This window comes from Homo sapiens, chromosome 22 (genome assembly GCF_000001405.40).
Source record: "Homo sapiens chromosome 22, GRCh38.p14 Primary Assembly".
NCBI classification, from domain to species: domain Eukaryota; kingdom Metazoa; phylum Chordata; class Mammalia; order Primates; family Hominidae; genus Homo; species Homo sapiens.
In genome coordinates, this window is record NC_000022.11 from 45,258,985 (window position 1) to 45,284,767 (window position 25,783).

Below are 25,783 nucleotides of genomic sequence, written 5' to 3' on the forward strand. Positions count from 1 at the left end.
ATCATCACAATGAATGAAACTACCAATAATCTAGTTCCTTCTAAATCTCAGTCACATTCAAATTTCCCTTATTGTCTCTAAAAAATTCTTGTTTTTGTGTGTGTTCGTTCGTTTGTTTGTTTGTTTGAGATGGAGTCTCACCCTATTGCCCAGGCTGGGAATGCAGTGGCAGAATCTCTGCTCACTGCAACCTCCACCTCCCAGGTTCAAGCCATTCTCCTGTCTCAGCCTCCCGAGTAGCTGGGATTACAGGCGCCTGCCACCACACCCGGCTAATTTGTGTATTTTTAGTAGAGATGGGGTTTCACCATGTTGGCCAGGCTGGTCCCGAACTCCTGACCTCAGGTGATCCGCCTGCCTTGGCTTCCCAAAGTGCTGGGATTATAGGTGTGAGCCACTGCGCCCAGTCTCTATAACATCCTTTATAGCTGGGTGTTGAATCAAGGTTAGGATGATCTTTCCAGAATCCAAACTTGAACATGTCACTTTCCTGCTTAGCAGTTAGTGGTTTCCCTCACCCTGGGATACAGGCCGAGCCCCAGCCTGAAGAAGGCAGGACCCCCAGGCCCCTGGGCCCCTGTCCCTCACTCCTGCCCTCCTGCCTCATAGCCTTTTGGCTTCTCAACAGGCCATCATCCTTCCAGACACGAGACCTTCTTTGCTGTTTGCTCCTCCTGGAATGTTCTTTGCGCCTTCTCATCCTCCCATCCAGTTCAGCCATCATTTCCCCAGGGCGGCCCCCAGGAATCCCTGAACCAGACCCTACTCCTGTCTTATCTGACTCCTTAGAACCCTGTTCCTGCCCTGAACCCCCTCCTTCCCCTCACAGCACCCAGTTTGATTCGTGGGTGTGACGGCTCTACTACTCTCTCACTCCCCCATGGCCTGCGGCCCTAGGAGTGGAGTGTGTCTGTCTGCTCACCAGTATAGTCCCATACCTGGCCCAGAGCTGACACATAGTAGGTGCTCCATGAACATATGCTGAGTTAGCAAATGCACGAGTGAGCCAGGATGAGGAGGAGAACTGTGTCACTGTACCACCGTCTGAGGGCTTTGCAAGTCGCTGCTGGCAAGAGGGAAGACAATGATAGAACAGCATGGCCCCCAGGGGGACAGGGCCAGCTGTGGGAGAACTGCTGCCCTGGTGGGCATCGGGGGGACAGTAACTATGGGGATCCCTGAGGTCACTGCCCAGAGTTCCCTCTAGGACACCTGGCTTTCCTGGCTGCTGTGGGCCATAGACAGAAAGGACAGGACAGGAGCGACAGAGAGCACTGTCTCTTTAAGAAGCAAGAATGTAGCCGAGCAAGGTGGCTTACGCCTATAATCCCAGCACTTTGGGAGGCCAAGGCAGGTGAATCACTTGAGCCCAGGAGTTCAAGACCAGCCTGGGCAACATGGAAAGACCCCCGTCTCCACAAAAAAAATACAAAAATTAGCCAGGCATGGTGGCACGTGCCTGTGGTTCCAGCTACTCGGGAAGCTGAGCTGGGAGGATTGCTCAAGCCTGGGAGGTTGAGGCTGCAGTGAGCCGTGATCACGCCATTGCACTCCAGCCTGGGCAACAGAGTGAGACCCTGTCTCAAAAAACAAAACAAAACAAAAAGAAGCAGCAAGAATGTGCTCGTTCTCCCTTATAGGTGCTGACTGAAGCTGCACGGGAACCACCAGGTCTAGGATAGAGGCAGGAAGGGCAAAGGTGGGGGGAACACCAGGGGAAGTGAGGGCTACAGGAAGAGGGGCCTTGGGGCTGGGTGCGGTGGCTCACGCCTGTAATTCCAGCACTTTGGGAGGCCGAAGTGGGCGGATCACCTGAGGTCAGGAGTTCAAGACCAGCCTGGCCAACATAGTGAAACCCTGTCTCTCCTAAAAATACAAAAGTTAGCCGGGTGTGGTGGCAGGCACCTGTAATCCCAGCACTTGGGAGGCTGAGGCAGGAGAATCGCTTGAACCCAGGAGGCAGAGGTTGCAGTGAGCCAAGATCGCGCCACGGCACTCCAGCCTGGGTGACAGAGTGAGACTTTGTCTCAAAAAAAAAAAAAAAAAAGAAAGGGGTTGGGGGAGGCTTCAGAACAAGGATGTGGGCTGCAGGCCCGACTTGTCTCCTGGCATGCTCAGCGATAGGCAGGTCCCCACATACCCTGGGCCTCAGTTTCCTCATCAGTAGGAGAAGGGGGCCCCTCATTCCTCCTGGATACTGAGAGCCACGAGGAAGTGGGGAGAGCCACACTCGGGGCTAGAATCCCAGCTCCACCAGCCCCTCGCTGGGTGAAGCGGCTCAGCCTCTGTGAGTCTCAGGTCCCTTCTCAGCAAAGTGGGGGTCATGGGGGCCGTGCTTCCCCATGGGGCTGTGCACACATTCCTTGCGGTCCTGCCTGGAAGCCTCTAGCACTTTCAATACAGGAATGGTTTTCATGGTCCGTTTTCCTTAAGACTCAGCACACAGAGACATCATTCATTCATTCTCCCCTCTTTCATCGTTGCCTGCCTCCTCAGGGTAGGCCCTTGATGGCTGGGTTCTGGGGACACCAAGTGCTCCCCACAGCCTGAGATATCAGTGGTTCATGGCTTGGCAGGCTGCCCTATGATTGAAGAAACAAGGAAGGGACAGGTGTGTGTACAGACGTCAGAGCAGCCAGGTGCAGAGGCAGGTGCGTGTACAGATGTAAGCGGGGTCAGGTGCCGATGTTATGGAATCTTTGGGGTGTCGCTTTTCTGGGCAGAAACCTCTGTGGCCAGTGGCATCTTTGTCTGAGTTTTGCTTGGGCCCACTGGGCTCATTCCGCCCACTTGTCCTGGCAGACTGCACTCGGCTCACACTATCGGCCTGGATCCCACGTCTACCAAGGGAGACTGCGTGGGGTGGTGACGGGTGTGTAAGCACGCGTGAGGTCCGGCCACTGCACAGTCAGACACGCCGGCTGCTGCAGTGGGGCAGGCAGCTCCGGGTGCCAGCATGGGCCCCAGCTCTCTGCGAGGCTACAGCTGGACCAGGCGCACTGCAAGCAGCTTCCACAGCTGGCACTGGGGAACACAGTGGCTCTCAGAAGCTTGGAGATGCCAGAAACCACAGGGACCCAAAGAGGGCATCACAGCCCTGGCTTGGGAGACTCCCCGGTCTGGGCTCCCCAAAGGGCTGCAGCTCTTCCTTCCTTCTCTTCCCCTGCAACGTGGCCAGCAAGGGGCATGTCTCAGCACTGTTTGTGTTATAGCTCTTTTAGCCTTATTCAGTGGGTCCCAAGTTCTTGTCCTCCACTCAGGAAGAATGAGGTACGGAAACAAGAGGGTGAGCAAGACGAAGAGGAGCTTTATTGAGTGACAATAGCTCAGAGGAGGCCCTGGAGAGGGCAGTTCCTCACTACAGCTGGTCATCCGACGTCTGCTCAGCTCTGGCTGAGCCTGGGGCTTCTGTCAGCCTCAGAGAGGGGGAAGTTCATGCTGACTGGTCCATGGGCGGCCATGGGCAGGCCCAGAAAAGGCAACACAAGTTCGCACTCCAGTCCACGGCACTGACAGCCTGGCCCCCAGCCTTCAGGGCCTCCCTGGCCTGAAGGTGGGCCTCACCAGGGACTCACCCCCTTCTGCCCAGAAACCTGTCTGCCTCCTGCTGCCATTCATGGCGCCCAGGCTATAGGTACCAAGGGGCGTCTGCAGGCCACTGCCAAGCTGCCCTCAGTTCCTCCTCAGCTTCATTCCTATGCTCATCAGTGCCCAAAATCTGGAGAGGGCTGAGACGGCAGGGGGCTGGCATGTCAGCACTGCCCTGAGTGTGTGCACACCTGGCTGGGCTGTGACAAAACCCAGGCTCGGCCCCAATTTTGCCCCAAGATCAGAGCAGGTGCCGACAGCAAGGAGAAGCCAGGCAGTGGGAGCAGGCATTTCCAAGCCTGTGAGGGCAGGGGGGCCTTCCAGGGCCCCCAAGAGTGCAGAGATGCCTGGGTCCGCAGTGGCAGTTAGGGCCGGTGCAGCTATGTGGGATGTGGGGCAGGACTCCAGCCTGCTCCGTGGAGCGGGAGGCCCCGGTCTGCAGCTGTGGTTTGGGCGGCTGCAGCTGCACCTGGGAGGGTGGGGTTCCCACCTGCTCCCAGGCTCCGAGAGCACAGGGATGCCTGGGTCCACAGCCGTGGCTTGGGCAGCTGCAGCGGCATGCAGGGAGCTGCCACCCCGACTCAGAATGGGAGAGGCTCCTGCCTGTCCCCAGCTCCTGCCAGTTCCATGGAACATGCAGCCCCAGCCGTGCCTCCCTGCTGCAGCTGGTGTGACAGCAGCAGCCGCTCCAGATGGCCTGCCACTGCCACCACTGAGACAGGTGTGTGTATAGAGGTCCATTTTATTCAGGCTGGCGAAGGAAGGCTTCTCAGGGGAGGTGGCCCTTGGGCTTCCTCCAGATGCTCTGGAGTCCTCAGTGTCTGACTCCGGCAAGTCTTTCTGAAGAACAAGCAAAGCTCTTTCTCTTGCCACCGCCAAAACATTTCCAAGGGACTCTTCAGAAGAGAGTCAGTCTGCACAGCTCCCCTGGGGCCTGGGCGGTGGGGGCAGAGATCTTATCCAACTTCTCAAATGAGATTCTGCAGGCTCCAGTGACTCGCTGGAGGTCACCCAGCTGGTAAGAAGAGGAACTGGAACTTAACCTCAGGGCTTCCACCCCGGCTCCTTCTTCTGCTCCACAAATGCAGCCCAAGCCTTGAGGGCAGTGAATAGGTCAAGGGCCAGGACAGTAGCCTGGAGCCACCCCACGAGGGTGTGGGAACCGAGGGCGGGGTGGCATGGTGAACATGGAGGAGGGAAGCCCCTATTTTTCCTGAATCCCATGCCCTGGGATCCCAGAGCAAGGCTGGCCAGGGCTGACCTTCCTTCTCATTGCAGCATCTGCTCTCAGGGCCAAGGATTGCTCTGATGACAGACTACAGGCAGAGCGAGTGGCCGGCAGGAGCCACGTGCTTCCGGAGCCTCCTGCGGCCACCCCTGCCTCCGCACTCCCCCTACAGTCCACCTCGACACAGCAGCCCAGGCCACGTTTCCAAAGCCAAAGTCAGATCATGCCATTCCTGTTCTCATCTCACACAGAATAAAACCTCAATTCTTGTCTCCGCCTGCAAGTCCCTGTACAATCCGGCGCCTGCTGATCTCATCAAGCTCTCCTGGAACCAAATCACCAGAGCAACACCATGGCAGGGGCCTCCCTCTCAGAGGAGGAGGCATTGACAGGAGATGATCTCAGGGCAGACAGTTCTAGACCAGGACAGAGCTGGAGCTGAGGCCTGAGGCAGCAGGTGCCTAGCCAGGGGCCAGCAAGGAGGTCTGAGTGCTGGAGGTCAATGTTAGAAAATAGTCGGGGCCCAGACCAGGCAGCCCATGAATGGGTTTTTCTTTGGTTCACACAGTATATTACAAAACGGACCCACACATATGTAGTTAACTGAATTTGTTTGTTTGTTTGTTTTTGAGAGAGTCTCTTGCTCTCTTGCCGAGGCTGGAGTCCAATGGTGCAATCTCGGCTCACTGCAACCTCTTGGGTTCAAGTGATTCCCCTGCCTCAGCCTCCCGAGTAGCTGGGACTACAGGCACACACCATACCTGGCTCATTTTTGTAATTTTAGTAGAGACAGGGTTTCACCATGTTGGCCAAGCTGGTCTTGAACTCCTGACCTCAAGTGATCCACCTGCCTTGGCCTCCCAAAGTGCTGGGATTACAGGCGTGAGCCACAGTGCCTGACCAAATTAACTGATTTTTGACCAAAGTGATGAAGCAACTCGGTGGGGAAAGGAAAGTGTTTCCACAAAAAGTGTTGGATCAACTGGACGTCCATATATATATAAAAAAATGAACTTCCACACTTACTTCATACTACATACTAAAATTAATTTGGGGCTGGGTGCAGTGGCTCACACCTGTAATCCCAACACTTTGGGAGGCTGAGGTGGGTGGATCACAAGGTCAGGAGTTTGAGACTAGCCTAACCAACATGGTGAAACCCCATCTCTACTAAACATACAAAAATTAGCCGGGTGTGGTGGCACTCACCTGTAATCCCAGCTACTCAGGAGGCTGAGGCAGGAGAATGGCTTGAACCCAGGAGGTAGAGCTTGCAGTGAGCCAAGATCACACCACTACACTCCAGACTGGGTGACAGAGCGAGACTCCATCTCAAAATAAATAAATAAATAAATAAATTTGGGGGAGTCTATAAAATGGACCACAGACCTAAATGGAAGAGTTAAAACTGTGAAACTTTTACAGGAAAACAGCAGAAAATCTTAGTAACCTTGAGTTAGACAGAGGCTTCTGAAATAGCACACAAAAAGCACAAATTATAAAAGGGATAATTGATAAATTGGACTTTATCCAAATTAAAATTTTTTGGTTTTTGCAAAGCATACATCCAACAAAGGACTTGTATCTCGAACACTTTCTCAGCTTTTTTCCATTCCCTTCCTCATCCAAGGAATATTTTTAGACAATCCTTCCTAATCACCCCCATGGAAATTTAATACACAGGTACCCGTTTATGTATTGTGCGTTTATTGTGCTTTGTACATAAAGAGCACAATTTTTTCATTTCACGAGAACCAATTTTTTCCCATTGGGGGCAATTTTGCCTTCATTGAAAATGCATGATCAGGCCAGACACAGTGGTACACGCCTGTTGTAATCCCAGCGCTTTCAGAGGCAGAGGCAGGCAAATCACTTGAGCTCAGGAGTTTGAGACCAATCTGGACAATATGGTGAAACTCTGTTATCTACAAAAAAGTAAAAAAACTAGCCGGGTGTGGTGGTGCATGCCTGTGGTCCCAGCTACCCAGAAGGCTGTGGTGGGAAGTTCACCCGAGCCCTGGAGGTCGAGGCTGCAATGAGCCACTGCACTCCAGCCCGGGCAACAGAATGAGACCTTGTCAAAAAAAAAAAGAAGAAGAAGAAGAAAATACATGATCTAGAATATTAAAAAAACTCTTATAGTAAACAATAACAACCCATTCTTTTTTTATTTTTAATGGGCAAAAAATTTGAATAAACTTTTCACCAAATAAGATATACAGATGACGAAAATGAAAAGAAGTTCAAAACCATGAGTTCTGGGCGGGCACAGTGGCTCACACCTGTAAGCCCAGCACTTTGGGAGGCCGATGCGGGAGGATCACAAGGTCAGGAGTTTGAGACCAGCCCATCCAACATGGTGAAACCCTGTCTCTACTAAAAATACAAAAATTGGCTGGGCGAAGTGGTTCACGCCTGTAATCCCAGAACTTTGGAAGGCCGAGGCAGGTGGATCACGAGGTCAGGAGTTCGAGACCAGCCTGGCCAAGATGGTGAAACCCTGTCTCTACTAAAAATACAAAAATTAGCTGTGCGCAGTGGCAGGTGCCTGTAATCCCAGCTACTTGGGAGGCTGAGGCAGGAGAATCACTTGAACTCATAAGGCAGAGGTTGCAGTGAGCTGAGATCACGCCACTGCGCTCTAACCTGGGTAACAGAGTGAGACTCCATCTCAAAATAATAATAATAATAATACAGAAATTAGCCTGGTGTAATGCTGCATGCCTATAATCCCAGCTACTCGGGAGGCTGAGGCAGGAGAATCACTTGAACCTAGGAGGCGGAGGTTGCAATGAGCCAAGATTGCGCCATTGCACTCCAGCCAGGGCAACAAGAACAAAACTCTGTCTCAAAAAAAAAAAAAAAAAAAAAAAAAAGATTCCCTAGGGAATGAGATGTTACAGTGAGACACCACTATACATATACCAGAATGGCCAAAATGAAGAAGACTGAACACACTAAGTGTTGGTGAGGATGTGGAGGAACTGGAATTCTCACGCACTGCTGGTGGGAATGTAAATGGATATCCACTGAAAGACAATTTGACAGTTTCTTAAAAAGTTGAACACATGCCTGCCACATGGCCCAGCCATTGTACTCTTAGGTATTTATCCAACTGAAATGAGAGCACATGTCCACATGGAGACTTGAACAGGAAGGTTCATAGCAGCTTTAGAGCTAAAATTTTAAAAGCGCCCATTAACAGGTGAACGGATCAGCTAACTGCATATCCAGTTGCATATCCTACAATTGGATACTACTCGGCAATAAAAAGGAATGAACTATTAATGGCATCTAAGAAAATGGATGAACCCCAAAATAGTTATGCTGAGTGAAAGAAGCCAGACCAAAAAAGAACACATGTTATGATTCCACTTACATGAAATTCTGAAAATCTCAGTCTCATCTATAGTGACAGAAGCAGACCAGTGGTTGCTTGGGGGTGGGATGGGGGTGGGGTGGAGGAGAGGGGAGGGGGGATGAAGAGGGAATGGATTACAAAGGGACAAGGACATACTTTTTCTTTTTCTTTTCTTTTCTTTTTTTTTTTTTTTGAGACGGAGTCTCACTCTGTCACACAGGCTGGAGTGCAGTGGTGCGATCTCGGCTCACTGCAACCTCTGCGTCCGGCGTTCAAGCGATTTTCCTGCCTCAGTCTCCGAAGTAGCTGGGATTACAGGCACCTGCCACCACACCAGCTAATTTTTGTATTTTTAGTAGAGACGGGTTTTCGCCATGTTTGGTCAGGCCGGTTTCAAACTCCTGACCTCAGGTGATCCATCTGCCTCAGCCTCCCAAAGTGCTGGGATTACAGGCGTGAGCCACCGGGCCCCGCCAGGGGCACACTTTTGGGAGTGACGGAAATGGTCATTATCTTACTGTGGTGATGGAGTCACAGAATATACATCTATATTCAAAACTCATCAAATTGTATACTTCAAATATGTGTGATTTATTTTATTTTATTATTTTATTTTGAGACAGGGTCTTGCTTTGCCACCCAGGCTGGAGTTCAGGGGCACTATCATAGCTCACTGTAGCCTTGAACTCCTGGGCTCAAGCAATCTTCCTGCCTCAGCCTCCCGAGTAGCTGGGATTACAGGCACGCGCCACCACACCCAGCTAATCTTTTATTTTTGTGGAGATGAGGTCTCACTATGTTGCCCAGGCTGGTCTTGAACTCCTGGGCTCAAATGATCCTCCCGCCCATGTCCACGCATGGTCCTTCCCTCTGCCGCACACAGAGGAAGGACCTGGGGCAAGAGGATCTGTGGGAGCTGAGTGGGGGAGCCTAGGAGAGAGGGGGTCCGAAAGAGGGGGTGGAAGGGAGAGGATGCATGCCCCGCCACTGCTGGGCTTCCTGTCCCCCTCTCCCTCCCCGCCAGCCTGCAGCCTTCCAACCGCTGCCCCTGCCCCTCCGCTCAGACCTTCCCCGAGCTCCAAAACCGTCCTGGGCTGCCAGGCCCCGCCCCGTCGCCCCCCATCCTCCACCCCCTGCCCCTTGCTGACCTCATCACCCAGCCCTCTCCCCTCCCTCCTCCTGACAGCCGCCGGTGAGGTTCCCTCTGCCTGGAAGATCTTCCCAGTCTCCCCAACCTCCCTCTGTCCCCTCCTCCAGGTCCCCGCACAGTCCCTTCTGGTGAGGCCACCGACGCAAGCCCCGCCTCCACCCGCTCACCCCTCACTCGCCCCCATCCCCGTCACCCGCCCCACTCCCCTCACCCGCTTCCCTCACCCCTCACCCTCCCCTATCTCCCTGGCCCGCCCCCACCCCCCTCACCTCTCACCCGCCCCCACCCCCGTCACTCCTCACCCGCCCCCATCCCCCTCGCCCGCCCCCATTCCTCCCGCCCCTCGCCCGCCCCATCTCCTGCCCTCGTCTCTCCCAGCACAGGAGAGCGCCGTGGGTTTGCTGACCGCGTCCCTGCTGAAAGGCGACTCCGGGAGCACAGGCTTCTGCCCTCTCCTGATGTCCCTAGCAGCGCCGGGCACGCAGCAGTGCTCGCTGGGTTTTTGTTGCACCTTTGAGAGGAAAAGGAGCTCGGTGTCCCCTGCAGCCCCTGGAAGTGAGGCGAAGAAGGCCAGGATGGAGTTGGGTGGGCACCCGCCTGTGGTCGTACCCGGATCGTGGAGGCCGCGGGCCCTGAACCCTAGACACTGGGCGGGACCCTCCCTCCATTATAAAAAAAAGTAATAAAGCAAAAGCATCTCGCGACTGCGCTGCCATAATGGCAAATGTGTCGAAATTATACGCGAAAACAATTGCTTCCCCCTGAGAGGGCATTCTTCTGATGCTAATAGAAATTGGGGGAGTCAGCCTTGCTGTGGGCGCGGCACCGCCCCCTCCCCGGCCGAACCGCCCGCGTTGCGCCGCCAGGGGGCGCCCGACACCAACGCGAGGCTCCACGCGCCAGCGGGGCGGGGCTGAGAGGAGGTGGGGGCGGAGCCTGGGTAGGCGGAGGCGGAGGCGGGGGCGGGGGCGGGGGCGGGGGCGGGGGCGGGGGCAGGCCCCGGGCGGCGAAGCCGCGCTCCACAGCCAGGACCCTGCTCTCCCGGCCCCGGCCCACCCTTGCGGTCCCGGCTGCACCCAAACCCGACCCCCTGCACTTCTCACCTCCCGGCGTAGTGCATACTGTTCCTTCCACCGGGAACACGCGGAATACCTTCCCCGTTCAAGATCTAGTCGAGGCACCACCGCCTCCAGCAAGCCTTCCCGAGCCTCAGGCTGAACCAGGCACCTCCCTTGGGCTCCTACAGGTCCCCTGGCCACACTGTCACTCTGTATTCTTCTCCTGGGACAGTGGACAGTGAGTCCCCCGGCCGGGATGGGGCTGGGTCACCCACGATCCTAGCACGTGGTGAGTGGGTTTCAGGTGAATAAATCTGGGAGCCGGGAGCCCCAGGCAGCTTACTCAGATGATCGATGGTGGAAGTCCTGTCCCTCCACCCACCTTTGCTTAGAGCCTGGGACCACAGACGCTCAGTAAGTAACTGGGCTCCCTGGCTCCTGCCCCAGCCTGTCAGCCCCCATCTATAACTTCTGAGGGCTGAATCTTCCTCCTGCAGAACCTCGGGCTCTGAAGGTGATCCTTAGTAGGCCAGCTTGCAGCCCAGCCTTTGCATCTAACACCCTCCCCGCTTTTCACAGTCTCTCCCTGTTCCCTTGTTCAGTTGGGGTGGGGGATCGTTTGTGAGACTTGTCTTCATATTGTGAGCAATAATAAAGTACTTAAAGATATTTGAAAACTATTTTCTTACGAATAATAGAGAAGATTCCAGTTATCCCTGTAGTAATCTCTCACTCATTTGCAACCTTGCAGACTTAGTGGTTTCAGAAAGTCTTGCAAATACTCAGCCTTTCATTCCCCGGGGTCCCGTGCTGGCATCAGGCTCACACATGCACCAGGTGACTGGTTCAGGCACAGAGGGAAGCGGACTGCCTGGGTTTAAATTCCAGCTCCACGCTCCATGGATGTGTGACCTTAGGTAAACTACTCAGCCTCTCTGTGCCTCAATTTCTTCATGTGTAAAGTGTGATGGTGATGTCAGAGCCACCCCTGGGATTCTCAGGACGATTCGGGAAACTGCCTGTGGTGCACTCAGGAGGGAGTGGACCACAGAGGAAGTGCTCAGTAGGGGTTAGTAGTGAGCAGTGCTATTAGGCCTTCAGGGTCACTGTCATGTGCTCAAGGAAGCGGGAGAGAAAGGAGCGAAGCTTGCCTGGCCCCAGGACAGCACTGCGTGAAGTCCCTGAGACCCTCTTTTCTCACACTCCTCTCATGTAACCCTGAGGTGGGGATGCACCTGTGTTTGTCCTCCCCCCCATCCTCCTGACCCGGAACTCCTGGAGGGAGGAGAGGGCTGAATTGTTGGGGGCAAGGGAGAACATGGCTGCCCTCCTCTCCTGGGTGAGAACTCTTCATTCTGGGGTGGGAGTCAAGGTCCTGACTTGAGGAAGCAGGAGCTCCGCGTGTCGGCTGAGTGAATGAGTGAATGAATGAATGAATGAATGAATGAATGCATATGCCAGAGGCAGTGTCACACAGTGGCTAAGGATGGGGGCATCGGCTTCCAATAGCCTCAGATTCAAATTCTGGCTCACCTGCCTGCCAGTCATGGGGACCCTACTACCTGACTGCTCTGAGCCCCGGCATCCTCCTCTGCACTGCCCACTCCGTGCCCAACCTCTGGATGTTTGTGTCTGCCTTAAATCTGTCCACTGAAGCCCCAAGCACCTGTATTTGGAGATAGAACCTATAAGGAGGTAGTTAAGGTTCAATGAGGTCACGAGGGGGGGGGCATAATGAGGGGATTAGTGCCTTCATTAGGGAGAGCTTGCGCTCTCACTCTCTCTCTTTTTTTTTTTTTTTTTTGAGACAGAGTCTGACTGTGTCACCCAGACTGGACTGCAGTGGTGCAATCTCAGCTCACCACAACCTCTGCTTCCTGGGTTCAAGCAATTCTCCTGCCTCAGCCTCCCAAGTAGCTGGGATTACAGGTGTGTGCCACCATGCCCAGCTAATTTTTTTTGAATTTTTAGTAGAGAAGGGGTCTTACTATGTTGCCCAGGCTGGTCTTGAACTACTGAGCTTAAGTAATCCTCCCACCTCAACCTCCCAAAGTGCTGGGATTACAGGCATGAGCCACCAAACCCAGCCAAAAACTGAATTTTGAAATTTAATTTTAATTAATGTTAAACAGGCATGTGTGTCTAGCGGCTATAGTGTGAGACAGTGCAGTTCTAGAGAAAGGAGAGGCTTGGCCACACAGACTGATTTGAGGGGCAGTGAGAGATCAGCTTCTTCCCAAAAGGCACCCTCTGCCCCACCCCTTGGTGTGCTTCATCCATCAGTGCAGGTTGTCTGAAGCAAGGTCCCACTAAACAAGCAAAGGCCCAGCATTCAGTCACCAAGCACTTGTGATGTGCACCGCCCCATTTAATCTTCACAATTGGGTATTGTTGTGTGCATTATTTAATCCTAAGAGCTGATTCACAAGGGAGAGACTGTTACCATTTTCATTTGGTCTTAGCCAAAAGGCCGAGAAGCGATGGTTATCATTTTCGAATGTGGATACGGTGCAGAGAGGCAAAGCGCCCTACCCAAGACCCCAGAGGCGAGTCCTTTAGGCTTAACCTTCATGCCTCCCAGCCTCCCCAGGAAACCGCCCGGGACAGCTGGAGGCATTCACAGCCCATGTGAGCAAGTTTGTTAGGACTTAAAGCCTGGCGGCTGTTAAGGGTTGAGTGGGGACAGGGACATGGAACTAGTTCTGGAGCTCGGGTTTCTGGCAGAATGTTCCAAAAATAGGAACTAGCAGCCAAAGGACAACGTCAGAAATGACCGAGTCAGGAGTGGTCTGTGTCTGAGCTGGGAGAGGCAGCAGAGAGGATTGTGGTTTGATACACATTTGTGTAAATAAGCACGCCTGTTTTGTAGATGGGGAAGCTGGGGCAGAAATGGGGCAAAAATACGATTTTAAAGCCAGTCGTGTACAGACATGGTGGCTCAGGCTTATAATCCCAAAACTCTGGGAGGCCAAGGTGGGAAGCTTGTTTGAAGCTAGGAGTTCGAGACCAGCATGGGCAATAAAGCAAGACCCCATGGTATGCGCCCGTAGTCCCAGCTACGCAGGAGACTGAGGCGGGAGGATTACTTGAGCCCAGGAGGTCGAGGCTGGAGTGAGCTATGTTTGGGCCACTGCACCCCAGCCTGGGTGACAGAGCAAGACCCTGCCTCTAAAAAAATAAAGTAAAATAGGCCAGCCCTGCTGGGGCCGTGCTGGTGGCTGGACTCTGAGCTTCCCTCTGAGCCTTGGTCTCTTCACCAAAACCACTTGGGGGTGGATCTGACTCACATAGAGGCCCCTGCCGCTGGTCAGGCACTGCCTGGGATGGACCACGCAGGATGGGGGTGGGCAACGGTAAAAATACACCAAGGCCCAGAGTCCAGGCTCCTAGTGTCCAGCTATCACTGGGGCCTAGGAGTGCCCACCCCAACCCTCCATCCACAAGAACTCCTGAAACGGGACTCGGGATCACAGCATCCATTCAGTTTTTGTCTGGGTCCAGTGGCTCACGCCTGTAATCCCAGCACTTCAGGAGGCCCAGGTGGGAGGGTCACTTGAGCTCAGGAGTTCGACACCAGCCAGCGCAACATAGTGAGACCCCTTCTCTTCTAAAAGAATGTATCTGGGCTGGGTGCCGTGGCTCACGCCTGTAATCCCAGCACTTTAGGAGGCCAAGGCAGGCAGATCACGAGGTCAAGAGATCGAGACCATCCTGGCAAACATGGTGAAACCCCGTCTCTACTAAAAAATACAAAAAAATTAGCCGGGCGTGGTGGCGGGCACCTGTAGTCCCAGCTACTTGGAAGGCTGAGGCAGGAGAATGGCGTGAACCCGGGAGGCAGAGCTGCAGTGAGCCGAGATCGCACCACTGCACTCTAGGCTGGGCAACAAAGCGAGACTCCATCTCAAAAAAAAAAAAAAAAAAAAGTGTATCCAGAGATCTGGCAGGAGACTCAGGGAAAAATCACTGCAGCGTTGTAACCCCATTTTTCTCCTCTGTAAAGCGGGGGTGGCATGGACAGTCTCCTCGAGTTGCTACAGGGTTGAAGGGGCACTGTTTGGGAGCTGTGAGGTGCTCCTGCTTCCACCCGGGGCCTGCACGAGTCCTCCTGGCTCTGAACCCCCGACCCAGGACTGGCTCAGGGTGAGGGGTCAGTGGTCCGCATGGTGGAGAGAGAGAAATTCTGAGCCAACAGACTCTGTTCAGGGGACAGGAAAGGCCCTCATCCCCGCTGGCTTCCAGATCTCCCAGATAAGGAGAAATTAATGTTTGATCTGAGCTTCATTCCAGAGACAGACAAACCAGTTTACTGCTGCTGACTGAGAGGACACCCCACCCCTGCTATCGCACCTCACCGCCCTTTGGACTTGACACAGGACTTCTCCTGGGCCCCATGGGTCCCATTGTCCTCAGGCCCCTGTGCTTAGCATGGACCGGGCAGTCGGTGGGCCTGGGGGATGTTTGCTAAAATCAGGTTGCAAATCCAGCCCGCCACCTTCCGCCACTTCTTAGTGGGAGAAGCTGCCTCCGAAGCCAGGGATGGGACCCTCATCAGGAAGTCAGCCTCATGGATCCCAACGTAGACGCTGCCAGGAGGAGAAGAACACAGAGATCTGACTGCCTCACTGAGCAGCTGTTAGCCTTGGCCGAGCCACTTCCCCTCTCTGGGCTCCAGACCCTCAGCTGTAGAAAGGAGTCTTAATCCCTTCTCCCCTCCAAATCTGCTCTTCCCCATCTCATCTCAGTTGGGAGCTCCCCAACTCCATCCTTTTGGCTCCTCAGGCTAGAACTAGGGTCCCCCTTGACTCCTCCCTCACTCTCACCCCACCTCCAGTCCATCAGCAAAGTCCTGTGGGCCCAACCTTCAAAATACATCCACCACGAGAACTTTCCTCCGGCCCGCACCGGTGCCAGCCTGCACCACGCCATGCTGCTCCCTCCTTTACCTATCTGGTGTGATCCAAGACGAACTTAGCACCTAGAAAGAGCCTTCCGTCTTCCACGCATGTTAATTAGAAAATTTACCTGTTTGGCCTGGCACGGTGGCTCGTGCCTGTAATCCCAGCACTTTGGGAGGCCGAGGAGGGTGGATCACCTGAGCTTGGGAGTTCGAGACCAGCCTGACCAACATGGTGAAACCCCGTCTCTTCTAAAAATACAAAATTAGCCAGGTGTGGTGGTGCATACCTGTAATCCCAGCTACTTGGGAAGCTGAGGCAGGAGAATCGCTTGAACCCAGGAGGTGGAGGTTGCGGTGAGCCAAGATCGCGCCGTTGGACTCCAGCCTGGGCAACAAGAGTGAAACTCTGTCTCAAAAAAAAAAAAAGAAAGAAAGAAAGAAAGAAAATCTACTCATTCATTCATTCATCAAACACTGCTGAGAATGTGCCCTATGCAGGACACGGGAGGAGGAGGATTTGGGCCAGGCCTTGGAGAATGGGGGGCTTCCATGATGGAACGTGCAGCATGGGCACCCCAGGCAGTGGGCACAGCAAGTATAAAAAGAGCTTCAAGGCAGGGGTGGGGGGCTTCGACTATTGATGTCAGAGTTGGAGGGCACTGCAAAAGTCCTCATCCTTGGAGCCACCAAAGGGCAAGAGAGAGCTGGGTGAGCTTAGGGACCTGTCAGTGTTCAGTGGGGCTGGTGCCAGGGAATGAGGTAAGACAGGAAGGAGGGGAGGTGGAGAGGTTGCTGGGAGCTGACTGGCCACCAGGGCCTTGCACACTGGGGTAGGAAGCGTGGGCTTTATTTTTTTATTTTATTTTATTTTATTTTTGAGATGGAGTCTTGCTCTGTCACCCAGGCTGGAGTGCAGTGGTGCGATCTCGGCTCACTGCAGCCTCCGCCTTCCAGGTTCAAGCAATTCTCCTGCCTCAGCCTCCTGAGTAGCTGGGACTATAGGTGCACGCCTCCACACCTGGCTAATTTTTGTATTTTTAGTAGAGACGGGGGTTTCACCATGTTGGCCAGGATGGTCTCGATCACCTGACCTCATGATCTGCCCTCCTTGGCCTCCCAAAGTGCTGGGATTACAGGGGTGAACCACTGCGGCTGGCCGGAAGCGTGGGCTTTATTCAGAGGACAGTGGGTGACCTTGAAGGGCTTTACATGAGGAAAGTGACAACCAGACTTGCGCTTTAGAAATGTCACTCTGGGGCCCAGATGAGACGCAGAACCACGCTTGCCCCTTCCTTTCCAGCTGCGGCCCCGGAACTTGCAGCTGCATTGATGTTGATGCCTAGGAAGAACCAGATTGCCGTTTATGAACTCCTTTTTAAGCAGGGAGTCATGGTGGCTAAGGAGGGTGTCCACCTGCCTAGGCACCCGGAGCTGGCAGACAAGAATGTGCCCAACCTTCACATCATGAAGGCCATGCAGTCCCTCAAGTCCCAAGGCCACAGGGAGGAACAGTTTGCCTGGAGACATTTCTACTGGCACCTTACCCGTGAGGGTATCCAGAGTATCCGTGAGGACCTCCATCTACCCCCTGAGACTGTGCCTGCCACCCCACACTGCAGCCCTCCAGAGACTGGCAGGCCTCGGCTAGGTCTGGAGGGCAGTCGACCTACAAGACTCACAAGAGGGGAAGCTGACAGAGACCAACAGATGGGGCACTGTGCCTCCTGGTGCAGACCAGAAAGCCGAGGCTGGGGCTGGGTCAGCAACCAAGTTTAGAGGCAGATTTGATCGTGGACATGGTCAGCCATGTCAGTAAAACTGGAGAGGATTATTTTGCATTGAATAAACTTATAGCCAGAAAAACTTTTTATTTTATTTATTTTTTATTTTTTTTATTGAGACAGAGTCTCACTCTGTTGCCCAGGCTGGAGGGCAGCAATGTGATCCCAGCTCACTGCAACCTCCCCACCTCCCGAGTTCAAGTGATTCTCCTGCCTCAGCCTCCCAAGTAGCTGGGATTACAGGCGCCTGCCACCATGCCCGTCTAATTTTTTTTGTATTTTTAGTAGAGATGGGGTTTCACCATGTTGGTCAAGCTGGTCTTGAAGTTCTGACCTCAGGTGATCCGCCCTTCTCGCCCTCTCAAAATGTTGGGATTACAGGCGTGAGTCACGGCGCCCGACCCAGAGAAACTTTTTTAAAAAAGAAATGTTACCCTGGCTTCTGGGTGGGGACGCATCAGAGGAGTGATGCATGAACAGGGAGACCCAGTAGGAGGCCAGTCTCCGTAGAAGACAGGGTGTGGACACCAGGGTCCCATGGCCTGGGTTTAAAACCCACCTCCCTACTCCCTGTGTCTTACCTGGAGGACGCTGGGTCTGTCTACCTGTCCATCTCGGCAGGGTCAGGCACTGTGCGGGTGCCGCGGTTAGAGCTCGCGTTTTAGCGGGCAGTTATTCAACTGCCTTGAGCCTCACTTCATCTGAAGGTAATGGAGGTAATAACAGTACCTGCCTGCCAGACCAGATGTGACAGATAAGTTGAAATGTGTAAAACCCCTAGCACAGTCCCTGACACGTGGGGTCAATTGTTATTATGTTATTAGTCCAGGCATGAAAGTGTGGAGGGGGCCAATTACATGTGTGAGGGCTCAACCACACCCCCCAGAACTCATCTGTCAAAGTCCTAAGCTTTAGTACCTCAGTAAGTGCCTGTATTTGGAGACAGGTCTTTAAAAGGGTAATTAAGCTAACATGAGGTCATTAGGGTGGGCCTAATCCAATATGACTGGTATTCTTATAACAAGAGGAGGTTAAGGCTGGGCGCGGTGGCTCACACCTGTAATCCCAGCAGTTTGAGAGGCTGAGGCGGGCGGATCACCTGAGGTCAGGAGTTTGAGACCAGCCTGGCCAACATGGAGAAACCCCGTCTCTACTAAAAATAAAAAAAAATTAGCCGGGCATGGTGGCACACACCTATAATCCCAGCTACTCAGGAGGCTGAGGCAGGATAATTACTTGAACCCAGGAGGCAGAGGTTTGGAGTAAGCCGAGATCGCACCATTGCACTCTAGCCTGGACGACTGAGCCAGACTCCATCTCAAACAAGCAAACAAAATAAATAAATAAATAAATAACAAGAGGAGGTTAGTGGGCTGGGCGTGGTAGCTCACACCTGTAATCCCAGCACTTTGGGAGGCTGAGGTGGGAGGATTGCTTGAGGTCAGAAGTTCAAGACCAGCCTGGGCAACAAAGTGAGCTCTTGTCTCTACAAAAATTTAAAAATAAGCCAGGTGGCGGCAGGCGCAGTGGCTCACACCTGTAATCACAGCACTTTGGGAGGTCAGGGCGGGTGGACCATGAGGTCAGGAGTTCAAGACCAGCCTGGCCAAGTGGTGAAACCCTGTCTCTACTAAAAAAAAAAAAAATACAAAAATTAGCTGGGCATGGTGGCAGGCACCTGTAATCCCAGGTACTCGGGAGGCTGAGGCAGAGAATTGCTTGAACCCGGGAGGCAGAGGTTTCAGTGCACTCCAGCCTGGTGACAGAGTGAGACTCTGTCTCAAAAATAAATTAAAAAAAAATAAGCCACGTGTGGTGGCACATGCCTGTGATCCAAGCTATCTGGGAGGCTGAGACAGGAGGATCGCTTGAGCCCAGGAGCGGGAGGCTGCAGTGAGCTATGATCGTGCCACTGGACTCCAGCCTGGGCAACAGAAAGAGACCTTGTCTCTTAAAAAAACAAATAAACAAACAAAAAACGGAGATTAGGACACACACACACAGAGGAAAGCCCATGTGAGGACACAGGGAGAAGACTGCCATCTGCAAGCCAGGAAGAGTGGGCTCAGGAAGAACCCTTGATCTTGATTAGCCAGCACCTTGATCTTGGACTTCCAGTCTCTGGAACTGTGAGAACGTGAATTTCTGTGTAAGCCACCCGGTCTGCCTTACTCATTATATCAACCCTGGAACACTAATGCACCGTGCCAGGCAGCGGTGGCAGCATCAGAATGGAAGAGGTGGGTTCCAGAGTCACTGGGAAGATCCGTGTGCCCAGCACGCAGTAGGCACTCAACAAACACCTGTTGAGTAAGTTTGGATTCTACGTGAGAGGGGCCTGAAAGGAAAGAGATGGCCCAGAGGAGACAGGACTAGTCCAACAGAGCCCAGGGCTGTGGTGACACCTGGGGAATGTGGGGGACCCTGCCACTGCCCACCACCGCAGTCACAGGGCACATTCACACCCACGACTGCACTTCATCCCACCCCTCTGCAAGAGGACCCCTTGAGCATCCCCATCTTCCTGAAAAAGAAACCAAGGGTAAGGACCACCACAATGAGAATCACAGCCAGGGCTGAACACGGCTCTTCAGAGAGTCCTGTCATGCGCGGCCCCTTGGAGTCACCAAGGAGGGCATGTTCTGCAGGACGGGCAGCTGGAAATGTGGGTCTGGAGCTTGGGAGACAGGTGGGGGCCCCTTAGAGCAAAGTGGGCGTCCTCATCACAGAGTGAGGATAGACGAGTGAGCACCAGGCAGGGACTTGGGTTTCTCCACTGGGGTTTTTGTTTCTCGTTTTAAAGTGACTGAATCTCTGGTCGGGCACAATGGCTCACACCTGTAATCCCAGCACTTTGGGAGGCTGAGGCAGGTGGATCACCTGAGGTCAGGAGTTCAAGACCAGTCTGGCCAACATGGTGAAACCCCATCTCTACTAAAAAAAATACAAAAATCAGCTGGGTGTGGTGGCACGCACCTGTAATCCCAGCTACATGGGGGGCTGAGGCAGAAGAATCGCTTGAACCCGAAAGACGGAGGTTGCAGTGAGTTGAGATTGCCCCACTGTACTTCAGCCTGGGCAACAGAGCAAGGCTCCATCTCTAAATAAATAAATAAAGTAGCTGAATCTGAAAGCACTGAAAAGCTTGACTTCCAGAGTCCTGGGACAGAGCCCCCACAATGAAAGCCAGCACTTGCTGTGGTGGGATTCCTGCAACTTCTCTGACTTCTGAAGAGAGGAGTCATGGAAACCGACTGGACCCGGGCTCTTCAGTGTTTGGAGAGACATTTCTGGGTCAAGAATTTCCAGCCCATAAATTCCCCATGCTTCAGATTCAAAGGAGGTCTGTGAAGGGCTGGGCTTTGCTTAACCTTTCACATCGCAAAACTTCCTGCCTCTCTGGCCTCAGACAAACACATCCTCCAGGCCAGGGTTCAGAAGGACGGTCTGATGGATCTAGATGTATAAATGACCTCAAGTCAGACTGAATCTGAGTGCTCTAGAAGTGGCCTGATCAAAAAGGAAACATTAAAAAAAATTTTTTTTTAACTTTGGGCTGGGCACAGTGGCTCATGCCTGTAATCCTAGCACTTTGGAGGCCGATGCAGGAGGATCAGTTGAGCCTGGGAGTTTTAGACTAGTCTGGGAAACATGGTGAAATCCCACCTCTATAAAAATACAAAAATTAGCTGGGTGTGGTCGCCCCTGCCTGTAATCCCAGCTACTAGAAAGGCTGGGGTGGGAGGATAGCTTGAGCTCAGCGAGGTCGAGGCTGCAGTGACCAGGGATCATGCCAGTGCACTCCAGCCTGGGTGACGCAGAGAGATCTTGTCTCAAAAAAAAAAAAAAAAGAAAAAAACAAATAAACTTAGGAAAGTGCACGTGGAGCAGCAAGGGACACTGGCAGGTGTCAGGCCCCCTTTTTCTCCTGTTTCCCCTCCACTGACACAAGCAATGGTCTCTCCCAAGTGAATTTCCCACCATGACTCATTTCTCCTGTACTTCCCCCTCTTCAGAATGAGCCAAACAAAAGTCAGCAATCTTTGAAGTGGACATTTGTTTATAAATCTAAGATTTTTTTCTTTCCAGAACATGTTTTGGGCCTTTGCAGATTATTGTTTTAACATTTTCCTTCAAATGTTCTCCCCATATTTGGGCAAGGCAAGAGACAAGAGGACTTTTTGGGGTTTTTGTTTTTTTTTTAAAGAAACTGCAGCGTTTTGGAGAAAACAATTTCCTGGGCCTACTTCCTCTCACAGGTGATTCTGAGCTGGGCCTTTAAGATCAACCCTGCTGAGGCCAGGCACGGTGGCTCACACCTGTAATCCTTGCACTTTGGGAGGCTGAGGCTGGTGGATCTTGAGGTTAGAAGTTCAAGACCAGCCTGGACAACATGGTGAAACCCTGTCTCTACTAAAAATACAAAAATTAGCCAGATGTGGTGGTGCACACCTATAGTCCCAGCTACTTGGGAGGCTGAGGCAGGAGAATGGCTTGAACCTGGGAGGCGAAGCGTGCAGTGAGCCGAGATCGCCCCACTGGACTCCAGCCTGGGTGAGAGAGCAAGACTCCATCTCAAAAAAAAGAAAATCAACCCTGCTGGCCTCTGATAAACTGCAGGTTCACAACCAGGTTCACAAACAATTGTTGAACAAGAAATGTCAGTCTATAAAAATTCTTGGAAGAAAACCGCAGCCCTGTTCAAGAGTTCCTTACCTCTGGGACATTTTCTGTGTGCTGAAGATAAGGATCTGATCATCCGCTCTCTGCATGTCAGGGCTGAGAGGTGACCAAACTCCCTCCCCACTTTCTAGAAGGTAAACCGACACCCAAAGAGGGGAACAGTGCATTTCTGTGGCAGAGAACAGACTCTGTCCCCCAACATTTTCACTTTGAAAAATGTCAAACCTACAGAAACATTTCAAGAACACTACAGTAAATACTCATACTTATTTACCAATTGCTAACATTACACTAAATTTACTTTCTCTTTTTCTCTCGAATCTCATATATATGTTAGTTTCAGGTATCATGACACTTTATCCACATGCAAGCTGGGAGGATCCCTTGAGGCCAGGAGCTAGAGACCATCCTGGGCAACATAGTGAGACCCCATCTCTACCAAAAAAAAAAAAATCAAAAAAAACTTGCTCAGCCTGGTGGTGCATGCCTGTAGTCCCAGGATTGCTTGAGTCCAGGAGGTCGAGGCTACAGTGAACTATGATCTTGCCACTTTGAGCTATGATTAAAGCTGCAATAACAGAGCCAGACCCTATCTCTTAGAAAAAGGATAAAGAAAATCAGCAGAAACTAATTAATTTCTGTATGACGTTGATGACATAACCTCACTGGCAGAAAAAGAATAAAACGATCTGAGTAATTATAGAGCTGGGTTGTCCAGGGGTACCTCCTTAGTGGAGTACACTCTAAGAACTGGGAGGCCTGTGACAGAACCCCAAACCTCACTAGTGACTTTGTTATTGGCAGTGGGGAGGGCGGAGCCATTGTGAAGCAACTTTGGGTTATCCTAGGATTGGTGGTACCAGAACCCAGATTCTCACTGTAGGATGAGGGAGATTTGGAATGGAAGAAGGAAAATGCTGGTGTTTTGTTATTTGTAATTAGTTATGGAAAAAAATTACTAAAACAAGATTTTTAAGTGAAAAGAAAAGAAAAAGGCTGGCCAGGCACAGGCCTGTAATCCCAGCACTTTGGGAGGCTGAGGCGGGTGGATCACTTGAGGTCAGGAGTTCGAGACCAGCCTGGCCACATGGTGAAACCCCGTCTCTACTAAAAATACAAAAAAATTAGCTGGGCATGGTGGCGTGCGCCTGTAGTTCCAGCTACTCAGGTGGGTGGCTGAGGCAGGAGAATCTCTTGAACCCAGGAGGTGGAAGTTGCAGTGAGCCAAGATCACCCCATTGCACTCCAGCCTGGGCAATAGAGTAAAACTGTCTCAAAAAAAAAAAAAAAAAAAAGAAAGAAAGAAGGAAGGACAAAGAAAGAAGAAAGAGAGGAAGGAAGGAAGGAGAAAGAAAGAAAGAAGGAAGGAAGAAAGGAAGGAAGGAAGGAGAAAGAAAGAAGGAAGGAAGGAGAAAGAAAGAAGGAAGGAAAGAAAGGAAGGAAGGAAGGTAGAAAGAAAGAAAGAAAGAAAGAAAGAAAGAAAGAAAGAAAAAGAAAAAACTAGGTTCATTGAGACAGACCGAGAAGCAGTAATACCCAGTTGCAAGAGGCACCTTGCCACTGTTAGATCTTAAACTCCAGTCTCCAGTGAAAGGCACCAGTGCCCCTTGGAGAGATGGCTGAATCCAGAGCTGGGACAGGGAATGTCAAGAGGAGCCCGGGACATTTTATTGTGCCAGAAAGTAAAGAGGTTCTCAAAGAATGGTGGGAGCGTGAAAGCAGCTAGCACAGAGCTGCTGGAAGGAGCTGCCAACAGCCAGGCCTGGGAACATTTGAGCACAAAATAAATAATGGAAGTCATACATTCAGCTTGCTTTTTTTTTTTTTTTGAGACGGAGTCTCACTGTGTCACCCAGGCTGGATTACAGTGGCACGGCGCGATCTCAGCTCACTGAAACCTCCACCTCCTGGGTCCAAGAGATTCTCCTGCCTCAGCCTCCCAAGTAGCACTGATTAGAACTCACCGTCATGACCATGTCCTGCCCAAAAGGTTTAACTTGAATTTCATCAATAGGAAACCATCAGACAGATCCACATGCAGGGACTTTCTGCAAACCAGCTGGACTGGATGCTTTGCAAATGTTCACATCAGGAAAGACAGAAGCAAAACAAAACAAAAGGCTGAGAACTGTCTGATGGTTTCCTATTGATGAGATTCAAGTTAAACCTTTTGGGCGGGACATGGATGTCCAAGTAGCTGGGACTACAGGCGCCTGCCACCACGCCTGGCTAGTTTTTTGGGTTTTTTTGTATATTTAGTAGAGAAGGGGTTTCACTGTGTTGGCCAGGCTGGTCTCAAACTCCTGACCTCATGATCTGCCCACCTCGGCCTCTCAAAGTGCTGGGATTACAAGCGTGAGCCACCGCATCCAGCTGGGGAAAGATTTTTAGGGATCAAGGGCCGGGCGCGGTGGCTCACGCCTGTAATCCCAGCACTTTGGGAGGCTGAGGTGCGTGGATCACAAGGTCAGGAGATTGAGACCATCCTGGCTAACACAGCGAAACCCCGTCTCTACTAAAACAATACAAAATATCAGCCAGGCATGGTGGCAGGTGCCTGTAGTCCCAGCTACTCGGGAGGCTGAGGCAGAAGAATGGCGTGAACGTGGGAAGTGGAGCTTGCAGTGAGCCGAGATCACGCCACTGCACTCCAGCCTGGGTGACAGAGCAAGACTCCGTCCCCCCCAAAAAAAAAAAGAAAAAAAAGATTTTTAGGGAACAAGACATACATTAATCCAGAGATACCAACTTTACCAAATGATGAAATGGAACATCCCCAATAATGGGACACACTGACCTCATGTGCTTCCTTCCTCCATTCCAAATCTCCCTCATCCTACAGTGAGAATCTGGGTTCTGGTACCACCAATCCTAGGATAACCCAAAGTTGCTTCGGAATGGCTCCGCCCTCCCCACTGCCAATAACAAAGTCACTAGTGAGGTTTGGGGTTCTGTCACAGGCCTCCCAGTTCTTAGAGTGTACTCCACTAAGGAGGTACCCCTGGACAACCCAGCTCTATAATTACTCAGATCGTTTTATTCTTTTTCTGCAAGTGAGGTTATGTCATCAACGTCATACAGAGATTAATTAGTTTCTGTTGATTTTCTTTATCTTTTTTCTAAGAGACAGGGTCTGGCTCTGTTATTGCAGCTTTAATCATAGCTCAAAGTGGCATGATCATAGTTCACTGTAGCCTCGACCTCCTGGGCTCAAGCAATCCTGGGACTACAGGCATGCCCCACTAGGCTGAGCTAATTTTTTTTTTTTTTTTTTTGGTAGAGATGGGGTCTCACTATGATGCCCAGGATGGTCTCTAGCTCCTGGCCTCAAGGGATCCTCCTATCTTGACCTCCCAAAGTGTTGGGATTACAGGCATGAGCCTCCTTGCCCCTCTTCTGTTGTTTTTTTCCTATCCTTGTTGACTTACTTTTATTTCTTAAATGTAAAATTGATTTAAGGTGCATCCAGAGATGTGCACAGATTCTTGTGATGGAGGGAACCGCACAGTCATGGTGAGGAGTCCATCATAATTTTCAAACGCCCCTTTAAGAAGTAGGCATTAACACCCTGCTCCATCCCTTTGGAGGCAGCCCTGGGCTGAGCACTGGACTCCTGGGTTCCACCAGCCTCAGTGTCTCCAGGAGACCAAGCGCGGCCGGGGGTGAGTCCCTGTCCCCGCGCCCCCCACCACGCTCCAATACTTACCCCCTGCCCCACCCCCCAGCCTCCCGGGCCTTGGCTTGTACCTGTGAACCGAAGGGGTCATACTAGGCGTCATACTAGGGTCTCTGGATAGCTCCCAGGCCTGGACTTCGTTTTCCAGGATATCACCTTTACTGGTCAACCCATTTTGTTTCGCGAGTGCCCAGTGAGTGTTTGGCACGTAATAGAGCCTCCATAAATAGTTGTAGAAATTAGCGTCATTTTACAGTATGGAAACTGAGGCTCCAAGTGGGAGTGGCTTGCCCTCAAGGTCCCATTGGTGAGAGACGCTGTGGAAGGGCTGCCCTGGCCTGGGCACACAGTAGGCGCT

At 52.1% G+C, this 25,783-nt stretch overlaps 1 pseudogene, besides 5 other annotated features; it reads left to right on the plus strand.

Moving 5' to 3' along the window:
• Positions 4,366-4,415: an enhancer, noted in NCBI's record as "active region_19224". NCBI's record gives its function as "activates an Ori minimal core promoter by ATAC-STARR-seq in GM12878 lymphoblastoid cells {active_cell/tissue: GM12878}" and the evidence as "EXISTENCE:reporter gene assay evidence [ECO:0000049][PMID:35858748]".
• Positions 4,426-5,261: an enhancer, noted in NCBI's record as "H3K4me1 hESC enhancer chr22:45659291-45660126 (GRCh37/hg19 assembly coordinates)". NCBI's record gives its function as "activates a minimal SCP1, AML or CMV promoter by ChIP-STARR-seq in naive H9 embryonic stem cells {active_cell/tissue: H9 hESC(naive)}" and the evidence as "EXISTENCE:reporter gene assay evidence [ECO:0000049][PMID:30033119]".
• Positions 4,686-4,875: an enhancer, noted in NCBI's record as "active region_19225". NCBI's record gives its function as "activates an Ori minimal core promoter by ATAC-STARR-seq in GM12878 lymphoblastoid cells {active_cell/tissue: GM12878}" and the evidence as "EXISTENCE:reporter gene assay evidence [ECO:0000049][PMID:35858748]".
• Positions 10,090-10,319: a silencer, noted in NCBI's record as "silent region_13879". NCBI's record gives its function as "represses an Ori minimal core promoter by ATAC-STARR-seq in GM12878 lymphoblastoid cells {active_cell/tissue: GM12878}" and the evidence as "EXISTENCE:reporter gene assay evidence [ECO:0000049][PMID:35858748]".
• Positions 10,510-11,161: an enhancer, noted in NCBI's record as "H3K4me1 hESC enhancer chr22:45665375-45666026 (GRCh37/hg19 assembly coordinates)". NCBI's record gives its function as "activates a minimal SCP1, AML or CMV promoter by ChIP-STARR-seq in naive H9 embryonic stem cells {active_cell/tissue: H9 hESC(naive)}" and the evidence as "EXISTENCE:reporter gene assay evidence [ECO:0000049][PMID:30033119]".
• Positions 16,577-17,151, plus strand: RPS10P31 (ribosomal protein S10 pseudogene 31; annotated as a pseudogene).